This window comes from Homo sapiens, chromosome 2, assembly GCF_000001405.40.
Source record: "Homo sapiens chromosome 2, GRCh38.p14 Primary Assembly".
Taxonomy (NCBI): domain Eukaryota; kingdom Metazoa; phylum Chordata; class Mammalia; order Primates; family Hominidae; genus Homo; species Homo sapiens.
This window is the reverse complement of record NC_000002.12, coordinates 112,849,518-112,862,199: the sequence shown is the minus strand read 5'-3', so window position 1 is coordinate 112,862,199 and position 12,682 is coordinate 112,849,518. Positions and strand designations below refer to the sequence as shown.

General features: G+C 37.9%; 1 pseudogene, besides 2 other annotated features; it reads right to left on the bottom strand.

Moving 5' to 3' along the window:
* XIAPP3 (X-linked inhibitor of apoptosis pseudogene 3) lies at positions 7,886-8,874 on the bottom strand (annotated as a pseudogene).
* Positions 10,409-11,002: an enhancer, noted in NCBI's record as "H3K27ac-H3K4me1 hESC enhancer chr2:113608775-113609368 (GRCh37/hg19 assembly coordinates)". NCBI's record gives its function as "activates a minimal SCP1, AML or CMV promoter by ChIP-STARR-seq in primed H9 embryonic stem cells {active_cell/tissue: H9 hESC(primed)}" and the evidence as "EXISTENCE:reporter gene assay evidence [ECO:0000049][PMID:30033119]".
* Positions 11,857-12,419: an enhancer, noted in NCBI's record as "OCT4-NANOG hESC enhancer chr2:113607358-113607920 (GRCh37/hg19 assembly coordinates)". NCBI's record gives its function as "activates a minimal SCP1, AML or CMV promoter by ChIP-STARR-seq in naive H9 embryonic stem cells {active_cell/tissue: H9 hESC(naive)}" and the evidence as "EXISTENCE:reporter gene assay evidence [ECO:0000049][PMID:30033119]".

The window sequence follows — 12,682 nt, the reverse complement described above, 5'->3', positions numbered from 1 at the left end:
GAACCCTGTACGGGGACTGGGTAGACAAGATATTAGGCCAGTTTTCCTAAGGGGCTTTTATTGGCTCCATAAGTCAAGTTTGATTCCTTAAAGTAAAGACAGCATTGCAGTCAAAGCCTTGGTAAAATAAACAGTTTGTCCAACTGTGTTCTGTTACAAATGAAAATAGATTCTTATTGTACTTATGTAAATATATTGCCATAAGTTAAGAATACTCAAAAATTGTTTCCAAATATATATAGAGAGAAACAAATATGCTCCAAATTGTGTTCACTGGAGTATACTTAATTGTTAAAAGCTGTCAATATCTCAACAGAAAAATTTCCTTGACTCTGAAAAACAAAACGAAGGATCAACATTTTAAGAAAAAAAGTCAAAAAGATTACTTCAGCATTCTTTTAGTTCCATCTATGAAGTTAATTCCTGTTTTGCTTGATATTCATGAATATTTCAGCACTCCATGAATACTGAAAGTTTTTCCTCTATTCTGATGTCACAGTCTCCAAAGCTATCTTAAGCCTGCATTCAAGAGCACCCGTTAGAGTTTTATAGCTGATTATAAAACCACCTTCTAAAGAGGACCAAAGCAAGACAATTGTCTGTGAATGGCAAAAAGTTTTAGGGCAACCATAGTCAAAGACACACTTGATGAGGAAATTTGTTACCTCCATGGCACACAATAATTTACCATAACAATTATAATTATTACTGATAATGTACACCAAGTCATATCAGAATTATAGGAGTTTCCTATAATTTTGGAACACATACCAATAACATATTTATACAAATACAGCCCAAACAAAACCAAACACTATTTCATATTTGACAATGCTTCCTGTAAAATTTTTATACCAAATAAGCCACATTATGTTACTTTTTTTTTTTTTTGGACTTTAGGGAACCTAGTATCTTAAAGGATTCATTAGGTCATAAAAAGACATAATTTGTAGTTTGATTTTGGAAAGTTTGTCAAATTTGAAAGGTTTAAAACACTTGATGAAAGGTCATTGTAAAATAAGTCATTCATTTGACCAAAGTGATAACTCAAGGATTAAAAAAAAAAAAAAAAAAGGTGAAAGCCTTCATTCTTTGAGAGACGAGACTTAATTTTCCAAACAATAAGCCCTAATAAAAACAGCATGAAGCCAATTAAATTTGTTTTCCAAAATTGTATTAACAATCTATGAAATTTTTATCTTGACCATAGCTATAACTTCCAGAAGCCTTTTATAACCTCTATAACCTTTATTAAGGAGTAGGTTAATGCTTCAAGAAAACCTTGTTAATCTGACACAGGACCCATATGCTGATCTTGCATCAGTGTGGCTTGGACATCAATGATTATGATTAATTTATAGAGAAATTGAACTTATTTTATCTCTCAAAATTGGCCCTTACAATCTCACACACCCACCTCTTCCACTATAGTTCCTGGGCCTTGAGTTGAATAGCTTTAATTTCTGGCTCTGTGTTTCAAGAATGCAGTTTATTTTGATTGGCATTTTCTACCAGTCCTGAAGATGAGCCTTTAATTGCTGTCAGTATTTAAGATTTAGCAGGACTTGTCCTTTTAAGACCCAGGAGTCAAGCCCTATAACTCAATGTCACAAGGACTTTAAAAGCACATACATAAAGATATATGGATGTAATAATCATAATTTTTAAAAAATTGTATTAATCTCAGTGTTTTCTAAGCAAACCAAAACTTAATAATAATGGCATAGAAATTATTTCAATAAAACATAAAATCTGTTAAGCCAGTTACCAAAAGGCAAAAGAAAAGACCTTCTGCAATGCACAGAATATTATGTTGGAAGAAAACATTTCCTTTAGACCTTTAAGAAAACATTGTTAGCATCAGGACACAACAAACAGAATCTGAGGGTAAAAAACGTATATGAGCTGAAGGGAGTTGAAGGAGGGCATTACTATTTCCCACCCTTTTAAAGGGGAGAGAAAACCTAAAACAGCAAGATGCAATAAAAGCTGAACTTTGGGTTAAAAAAAAATTCTTAAGTCTCTTATAATTTATTAAGAGTGAATCAACCCCGTAAGAAAATTTCATTGTTCTAACCAATTTTTTAATATATAAGTAGTTTTTTAACATCAACCCAATCTCTAGAAAGACCATTATAATTTCCCTTTAATTATAGACAACTTTATCATATAAAAGTTTTTTTAAATAAATCCTCTTATTGTGACTTACACAGACTATTCATGACATGCTTGGACTTTCTGGTTTGTCGTGAACATCCTTTTCTTTCTTTCTTTCTTTTTTAAATTTTACTTTACGTTCTGGGATACATGTGAAGAACATGGAGGTTTATTACGTAGGTGTACATGTGCCATGGTGGTTTGCTGCACCCATTAACCCGTCATCTATATTAGGTATTTTTCCTAATGTTATCCCTCCCCTTGCCCCCCACCTCCTGACAGGCCCTGGTGTGTGACATTCCCCTCCCTGTGTCCATGTGTTCTCATTGTTCAACTCCCACTTATGAGTGAGAACATGCAGTGTTTGGTTTTCTGTTCCTGTGTTAGTTTGCTGAGAATGATGGCTTCCAGCTTCATCCATGTCCCTGCAAAAGACATGAACTCATTCTTTTTTATGGCTGCATAGTATTCCATGGTGTATACGTGCCACATTTTTTTACCCAGTCTATCATTGGTGGGCATTAGGGTTGGTTCCAAGTCTTTGCTATTGTGAATAGTGCTGCAATAAACATACATGTGCATGTGTCTTTACAATAGAATGATTTCTAATCCTTTAGGTATATACCCAGTAATGGGATTGCTGGGTCAAATGGTATTTCTGGTTCCAGATCCTTGAGGAATTGCCACACTGTCTTCCACAATGGTTGAACTAACTGACACTCCCACCAACAGTGTAAAAGCATTCCTATTTCTCCACATCCTCTCCAGCATCTGTTGTTTCCTGACTTTTTAATAATCGCCATTCTAACTGGCATGAGATGGTATCTCATTGTGGTTTCAATTTGCATTTCTCTAATGACCAGTGATGATGAGCTTTTTTTCATGTTTGTTGGCCACATAAATGTCTTCTTCTGAGATGTGTCTGTTCATATCTTTTGCCCACTTTTTGATGGGTTTTTTTTTCTTGCAAATTTGTTTAAATTCCTTGTAGATTCTGGATATTAGCCCTTTGTCAGATGGATAGATTGAAAAAATTTTCTCCTATTCTGTAGGTTGCCTGTTCACTCTGACAATAGTTTCTTTTGCTGTGCAGAAGCTCTTCAGTTTAATTAGATCCCATTTGTCAATTGGCTTTTGTTGCAATTGCTTTTGGTGTTCTAATCATGAAGTCTTTGCTCATGCCTATGTCCTGAATGGTATTGCCTAGGTTTTCTTCTATGGTTTTTATGGTTTTAGGTCTTATGTTTAAATCCTTCTTTTTTTTTTTTTTTTTTTTTGAGATGGAGTCTTACTCTGTTGCCCAGGCTGGAGTGCAGTGGCGTGATCTCCACTCCCTGCAAGCTCCACCTCCTGGTTTCACATCATTCTCCTGCCTCAGCCTCCCAAGTAGCTGGGACTACAGGCGCCCACCACCATGCCCAGCTAATTTTTTGTATTTTTTAGTAGAGACAGGGTTTCACTGTGTTAGTCAGGATGGTCTCCATCTCCTGACCTCATGATCCACCCATCTCGGCCTCCCAAAGTGCTGGGATTACAGGCGTGAGCCACCATGCCCAGCCATGTTTAAATCTTTAATCCATCTTGAGTTGATTTTTGTATAAGTTGTAAGGAAGGGGTCCAGTTTCAGTTTTCAGCATATGGCTAACCAGTTTTCCCAACATCATTTATTAAATAGGGAATTATTTTCCCCATTGCTTATTTTTGTTAGGTTTGTCAAAGATCAGATGGTTGTAGATGTGTGGTGTTATATCTGAGGCCTCTGTTCTGTTCTTTTGGTCTATATATCTGTTTTGGTACCAGTACCATGCTGTTTTGGTTACTGCAGCCTTGTAGTATAGTTTGAAGTCAGGTAGCACAATGCCTCCAGCTTTGTTCTTTTTGCTTAGGATTGTCTTGGCTATTAGTTTTTTCTAATTCTGTGAAGAAAGTCAATGGTAGCTTGATGGGGATAGCATTGAATCTATAAATTACTTGGGCAGTATGGCCATTTTCACGATATTGATTCTTCCTATCCATAAGCATGGAATGTTTTTCCATTTGTTTGTTTCCTCTCTTATTTCCTTGAGCAGTGGTTTGCAGTTCACCCTGAAAAGGTCTTTCATGTCCATTGTAAGTTGTATTCCCAGGTATTTTATTCTCTTTGTAGCAATTGTGAATGGGAGTTCACTCATGATTTGGCTCTCTGTTAGTCTATTATTGGTGTATAGGAATGCCTGTGATTTTTGCACATTGATTTTGTATCCTGAGACTTTGCTGAAGTTGCTTATCAGCTTAAGGAGTTTTGGGGCTGAAATGATGGGGTTTTCTAAATATGCAATCATGCATCTGCAAACGGAGAAAATTTGACTTCCTCTCTTCCTATTTGAATACCCTTTATTTCTTTCTCTTGCTTGATTGCCCTGGCCAGAACTTCCGATACTATGTTGAATAGGAGTGGTGAGAGAGGACATCCTTGTCTTGTGCCAGTTCTCAAAGGGAATGTTTCCAGCTTTTGCCCATTCAGTATGATATTGGCTGTGGGTTTGTCATAAATAGCTTTGAACATCCCTTTCTTAGCCAGTCACTTTATTCTAGCACAAAATTTTAGGTAAGATTCTTTCTTACCTAAAATTATTTCTCTTTAAGCTTTCTTACCAAAAAATACCACTTTATTTCTATAATTTTCTTTACATTTCCCTTATTTCCTTGTTCCTTTTACCTTGTTTTATACATAACTTTTCAATAAGCTTTGAATTAGACAAAAATTATTCACCTTTTTAAAAGGACACTTTTTTTTTTAGAAAGAATGGTTTCCTACAATATGTTTTTCTTGGAAAATACCCAAATAATGAAATACTTATTATTTAATTTAACTTTAGATTCTAAATTATGGTGAGTTTGTCTACAAATATTTATCCCATTACATTTACCTAATTATTTTATTTTAACTGTTTATCTAGATTATTTATGAAAACTGTGATAGCCATCATTTAAAGTTATGAAACTGCCATCACTGAGACAGTGAAAAAGATCTGACCTAGCTGACTCCATTTTGCTTCTAACGTCCAAGCTGTCCTTGTTCATTCCTGGGCATAGGCTGAATTAACTTTGGGAGGAACTTAGTTTATAGTTTAGCTTTGAAACAAAAGATGATAACAGTCATTTTCCAAAACAAACCTCCTTCCTGCCTGTGGACTAGACTGCCTAAAGCCACAAAGTTAGAAGTTATGGTAATTTTACTAAATAATGCAAGATGTAGCTATTTTCATTAAACCAATAGTAATGTCTTTTTAATCAAAGATTGAAAAAGCAAAGATTATTCTGTTTTGGCTGGGTTTATAGTTTTGTAACCCCTATGCCAAATTTTGACACCTTATAGTATTTGACAGGGATAAGTATAAAATTGCTTGATTGATAAATCCAAACAAAAATGTATGCTGGGAATGATTTTGTTTCAGGGCAGTCATTACTTAATTTTTAAAACTCTTATTTAAATTTGCAATGTTTTAAATGAACATCACTTAAAGTAGTAATCAACAGAGGTTAGGAGAACATAACAATACTCTTTCTCTTAGAAAATACAACAAAAATATAATTTTTTACAGTTTTGCTCCCAAACTTTTCTCTGTAATAACATGCCTTACTCACCTTTACAATAGGTTTGTTGTGAGAATCTTGTAATGTAAACCCTGGGTGTTCTGTGAAGCATTTTTAAACTTCTAGTTTACACTGACTCTTATTCAAGTGTTTTTAAAAATATATTTAAAAAACTGGCCAGGTGCAGTGGCTCACACCTGTAATCCCAGCACTTTGGGAGGCCAAGGCGGGCAGATCACAAGGTCAGGAGTTTGAGACCAGCCTAGCCAACATAGTAAAACCTCGTGTCTACTAAAAATACAAAAATTAGCTGGGCGTGGTGGCGGGCGCCTGTAGTCCCAGCTACTCAGGAGGCTGAGGCAGAAGAATCGCTTGAACCCGGGAGGCAGAGGTTGTGGTGAACCAAGTTTGCGCCACTGCACTCCAGCCTGGACGACAGAGCAAGACTCCATCTCAAAAAAAATATATATATATATATATATTTTAAAAACTGTTCTTCTCTTTCCAATATTTTTATAATTTCCAAGAGATTTTAAGGATCTTGAGAGAACATTTATTACAGAAATATCTACTACTATTACTAGTCAAGAAAGCAAACTTAGGTAAAGGAAAGACTTAATATTTTGTCCTATATACATCTTAATCATCCTAATGGTAAAAACTCACATGAAACTTCAAGATACAAGGTGATATGAGAACCTCAACATGGAAAGCTGTCACTATAACTACAACAGTGTACAAACATGCTTCTACTTTTACCTACATAAGCTGACAGATGTTTAAAATACTAGCTTAACAAAGATCTTTTAGTAAAGTGACTTATGCAAGCTTAAATTAGCAAGGATTAAGGATAAACCCTTACTACTTAATTGGAAGATCTGTGACATATTGTATATTTCATTTTACAAAATCAGAAATACTTATTTTGAAACAAGACAAGACATGGTCTACCTGTCAAAAAACCACCACTCAGAAATATTTTTCATTCACAACACAGGAAAAACATAAAACCGTTTAAATTTCACATTGGCACCAAAAAGATTAACTGCCCGGCCTTTTTGGATTAGAAAAACTAAAGCTGAGTGTTAAGTAGTTTTGCAGGCATTTGAACATGTCTAAGCTTTTAAATCAGTAAAATGCTTTCTAATAATTCTGATTACAAAAGTAGTACATACTTATAAAAAATTTAAACAGGGCTGGGCGTGGTGGCTCACACCTGAAATCCCAGCACTTTGGGAGGCCAAGGTGGGTGGATCACTTGAGGTCAGGAATTACAGACCAGCCTGGCCAACATGGTGAAACCCCATCTCTACTGAAAATACAAAAATTAGCCAGGCATGGTGATGGGTGCCTGTAATCCCAGCTACACAGGAGGCATGGGAGGCTGAGGCAGGAGAATCACTTGAACCTGGGAGGCGGAGGTTGCAGTGAGCTGAGTTCACGCCACTACATTGCAGCCTAGGCGACAAGAGTGAAACTCCATTTAAAAAGAAAAAACAAAATTTCAAACAGAACAAAATGAAAAAAATACCAAGTGAAAGGCCCCTATAAAAACCCCTCTGGGGCCCATCCTCCCACCCCCTCAAGTGAAACCACATTTAACAATTTGGTGCATATCTTTCCAAACCTTTTGTTGTACACATATAAAAAACATACATGCTTTGATTTGGCTCAGACTGTACATAGTGTTTTCCCTCTTGCATTTTACACTTAATATATCTTTGACATCTTTCTATGTCAGTGCATGTTGGCTCGATGATATTCTATCATTAAATACCCTTCCAAAAATGGTAAAATCATTTTAAAAAATCATTCACACAAGTACATATTTACAATTTTAAAAGAAAACAGAATCCCAAAACACAACGACAAACCTCTAAAAATAATCTCTATCTTTCCACCAGCATGGAACAGTTCATTCCTTTTTCACATAAAACGAATTATGTGATTGGAAAGATTAACTCTAATCTACACATTTATATACAGAATGTTCTATTTGTTAAGCCTATCTGAAAATAAAAAATTCAGATGATTAATTCACTTACACTTAGAAATTAAGTCAATATACTATGAATACACATTGTGATCAGTTATAATATGATGCTTCTTAGTCTAGGGTTTCAATTAAATAACAGTAAAAAAAATTGGATAAATAAGACAGCTAATAACTGAAAAATCCAGAAATTCAAAGATTATATTGCCAACTAAAACACTGCCATTTACATTTTTTTTTCCTACTTGGTAGCAAATGCTAATGGAATTCAATCCTGATTACTTAAAGTCAGTTCACATCACACATTCAATCAGGATAATACGAACATAATATGCCTACTATAGCGTTAGATTAAGACATAAAATTTTTTTGCTTGAAAGTAATGACTGCGTACCACTTGAGACATTTGTCAACCACTTCAGCACATTGTTTACGAGTGACTGGATGTCCACAAGGAATAAAAACGACAGCAATATTTCTATCCATACAGATTTTGCAAAGCTTCTCCTCTTGCAGGTGTCTTAGCTGCTCTTCAGTACTAATCTCTTTCTGCAATGAAGTCTGACTTGATTCGTCTTGTGTACTGTCTTTCTGAGCCTTCACTGGATCTGCAATCAGAACCTCAAGTGATTTACAGTTGCTCCCAGATGTCTGAATTTTTTCCTCCATTATTTTCTTAATGTCTTTGAAACTGAACCCCATTCATATAGCTTCTTGTACCATAGGATTATGGAAGATGGTATCAATTTTTCTAGTTAGTGATGGCGTTTTTTCAGCAGTTCTTACCAGACACTCCTCAAGTGAATGGGATAAATGAATATTGTTTATATATTTTCGTGTCTTCTGTTCTAACAGATATTTACACCCTGGATGCCATTTATCATGTTGTTCCCAAGGGTCTTCGCTGGGCTTCCAATCAGTTAGCCCCCCTCCACAGTGAAAGCACTTTACTTTATCACCTTCACCTAAAGCATAAAATCCAGCTCTTGAAAGCTGCTCCTTGTTAACTGAATATATCCACATCCCAAAAGTAATGATCCATGCTTCATAATCTGCCACGGATGGATGGATGGATGGATGGATGGATGGATGGATGGATGAATGGATGGATTGATTTCTTGGAGGATTTGTTGAATTTGGGAAATTCCACGCCAGGACAGCTGGCCCAAACTGCCCGCGACAATCTGCTCGGTACAAGGGGAGGGTCCTGGAGAGGGTGCGGCCCGAGCCCCAGTCTGGAAATGCCAACTTGGCTCTGCAGCCGGGCCTTAGCCACTTGGGTCTGGCATCCCTCCATTATTAGCGCCATGCCGGCTCGGGGTGCTGCCAAGGTCCTGCCACTTCCCCAACCCAGAAGGGGGCAGCAAGAAAAAACGAAGCCCCCGTACCACCCCCCACCCCACCAACCCTCACCCCACTGCACCCCCACTAGTTCTGTAACCCAGAACCTGCTGGCAATTCTTAAGACATTTCAAATAATGTTAAAGCTAGCTTATTTATTAAAGATTTTACTTAAGTTATATAAACTTGAACAAGCATTTGACTTGTCTTTTCCTTTTTCCTGATAAGGTATTTGATTCAAGCGCTTTTATTGTCTTAAGTCAATTAATTAGAACTCCTCTATATATTTTCAGTAGTGAAAAACTGTGTACACAACACGTAAATACATAGACGTATTAGGCATGCCAATAGAAATACATCTTATAGATTCATAAAGACTTTTTTTTTTCCTACCTTAGACGTTCAAGTTCTTGATAACTTGTTTCACTACTTTGGCAGTTGTCAGCTAAATAACCCTAAATTTGCATATTAAAGGAAACAACTCTTAGACGAAAATTCAGATAGCAAAATTTACATCTCAAGGTACAGAGAGAAAAAGTCTGGTGGTGCTAGAGGGAGATTAAAGATGGAAAGAAATCTACCATAGTACTGTATAAGGAGACCAATTTTATTGACATTGTAATACCTAACCTTGTTTTCAGACTCTCCCTTTCTCCCTTAATCACCTAGCCTTGTTTCCACATGAATAAGCTCTCCCTTAGCTGAGAAAGCCAGAGGAACTCGATTTCGCTCCTTCATTTACCAGACATCAAGGACTCCTTACCCACCCCCTTCCTCAAGGAGTTAACTTGTGTACGCTGACTCCCAACATATCAAAGAGTCCAATTAACTGATAAGGTACTGAAGCAAGCAATGTACGAAGTTCCCAGGATTTCGCTCAAGAGATAACAGCATAAAGCCTTGAGTTTGTGTCCGGCAGAGCCCCCATACCTAACATCTTATGATAGATTTAGAGCCCCTGCACCTGGAACTGTTTGTTTCCCTGTAACCACTTGTCTTTTTAATTTCTTTGCATGTTTTTACTCCTGTAGAATTGTTGCAACTGAGCTCCCCTCCCCTTCCTAAACCAAAGCATAAAGGAAAATCAAGCCCCTTCCAAGGGGCCGAGAGAATTTCGAGCGTTAGCCGTCTCTTGGTCGCCGGCTGATAAAGGACTCTTAAATTCGTCTCAAAGTGTGGCGTTGCTCTAACTTGCTCGGGTACGACAACATCGAGTCTACCTATCTTTTTTTTTTTTGAGACGGAGTCTCACTGTCGCCAGGCTGGAGTGCAGTGGCGCCATCTCGTCTCACTGCAAGCTCCACCTCCCGGGTTCAAACGATTCTCCTCTTTCCTCAGCCTCCCGAGTGGCTGGGACTACAGGCACCTGCCACCACACCCAGCTAATTTTTGTATTTTTAGTAGAGACGGGGTTTCACCATGTTGGCCAGGATGGTCTCGATCTCCTGACCTCGTGATCCGCCCGCCTCGGCCTCCCAAAGTGCTGGGATTACAGGCTGGGCCTCTACGCCCGGCCGAGACTACCTCTCTTTTAACTGGATCTCTGAGCTCTGGGCAGAGCCCACCCTGAATCCTGGTCTCCAAAAAGGGAAAATTATTAGGAGGCTAGACCATATGATGCTTTTACAGTGCACTTAAAAAAAAGTTTGTTTTTTTTTTAAAAGACATTTCTACATGTCTAAACTACAATCTTCCTTGAAAACCCAAGAGTAGCTTCTGTTGCAATAGCTAGTCAAAAATATAATAGTCAAAAAAATCAGGTAACACAACACAAACGCAAGCAGTTTAAGAGCTGAAATGAACTTGTCTGTTTACACTCTAGGGATTCCATAAGGAAAAATAGAAGTTTCTCCCTAAAAGGGAGCCTGGCACCTTCTCCATTTTCTTTAAGGAACCCCAGGCTATTATAAACTATTTTAGGGCTCTCATGCAGCAGACGGTGCAAGAGAAAGGAGAGACAGCAGAAGTAAATGAAGAAAACAGAATCCAGTCAACAGAGAAGAAAAAAACTTTTGCTCAAAAAAAGGCAAGTTCCTAGGAAAGAAAAAAAAAACATGAGGGCTATTTAAATACAAAGACGCATACATACACATGCACACATCTTGGATGTTAGCTTTTAATTAAGCTGACTTTTAACTATTGAGGTCCTTTAAAATAAATCTTTTAAAATCTTATTACGATATTTCAGCTAGGACAAATTGCTGCTATTTCAGCATTACCAAGTATCAAACCAGAAAAGGCTTGATTTAGGAACCAAACCCAGGCTGTCGTGGTAGGAAAAAAGGCAGAACCTTAGCTATGGAACCCACAGCATGGGGCAACAGCCATTGCTCTTTCAGTATGGCCTGGCTAGCAAAAAGGTGGCCTTGTTATGTAAATAAAGCCCGTTTGGTGGTCAAAATGAAACATCTTTTCCTTTTTTTTTTTTCTTTTGCTGGCCGTTTTTTCCCCCACCATACCACGTTTGTGTGTGTGGGAGGGTGGGAATTTAGCCACTTCAGAGGCCTCATTCCCCATAATTTGGAAATTTCCTTTGGATTTGATCAAGTCAGATAGAGTAGGTCAAACCCAATGGGAAAAAGACTGAAACAGCAATAAAAACAGAAACAAACAGTTAAGCAAAATGAATGATCACACAACTTATATGATTACTGAGTGCTCTAATGGTAAGGAGAAATTAAGACCAGCTGGTTGTTAAACTTTAGCCAAGACAAAACCCCAATTCAGCTACTTACCTAGGGTTGGGTCTCAGGCTGAAGACCGCTCACTACCGTTCTAGAAGCAAGAAATAAAACTTGAACTCGTCTTACCTGTGTAGCAGGACAAGCCGCAGACAAAATCCCTCAGACACCAAATTAAAGAAGGAAGGGCTTTATTGGGCCTGGAGCTGCGGCAAGACTCACGTCTCCAACAACCGAGCTCCCCGAGTGTGCAATTCCTGTCCCTTTTAAGGGCTCACAACTCTAAGGCGGTCCACATGAGAGAGTCGTGATAGATTGAGCAAGCAGGGGGTATGTGACTGGGGGCTGCATGCACCTGTAGTTAGAATGGAACAGAACATGACAGGGATCTTCACAGTGCTTTTCTTATGCAAATAACCGATTAGATCAGGGGTCGATCTTTACCAGGCCCAGGGTGTGTCACCGGGCTGTCTGCTTGTGGATTTCATTTCTGCCTTTTAGTTATTACTTCTTTCTTTGGAGGCAGAAATTGGGCATAAGACAATATGAGGGGTGGTCTCCTCTCTTACCTGCGGGGAGTGAGCTCAAACTCCTTAAAGGAGTTACCTGCCTTCCATCATCAGGGAAGCAGGAAATCTTGCCTTCCTTGTTGGAAGCAAGTAAAACTCAAAACAAACAAAGAAAAAAACAGGGAGTTGTACAGCAAAATAAACTTTTGATTTTGACCAAATTTTGGGAGATCAGGAATTCTCTGAAGGAGATGCTTTCAGACCTCAGCAAATTGTCCTGTTGGTTTGAGCCATAAAGTTAGCTCATGCTGGTACCAAACACCAGTAGGAGATTTGTCAAAGGTAAGAGGCATCTCCACTCAGAATCCCTTCGTGGTTACCAACATGTGAACCTTGGAAATCTGAGACAGGTCTCAGTTAATTTA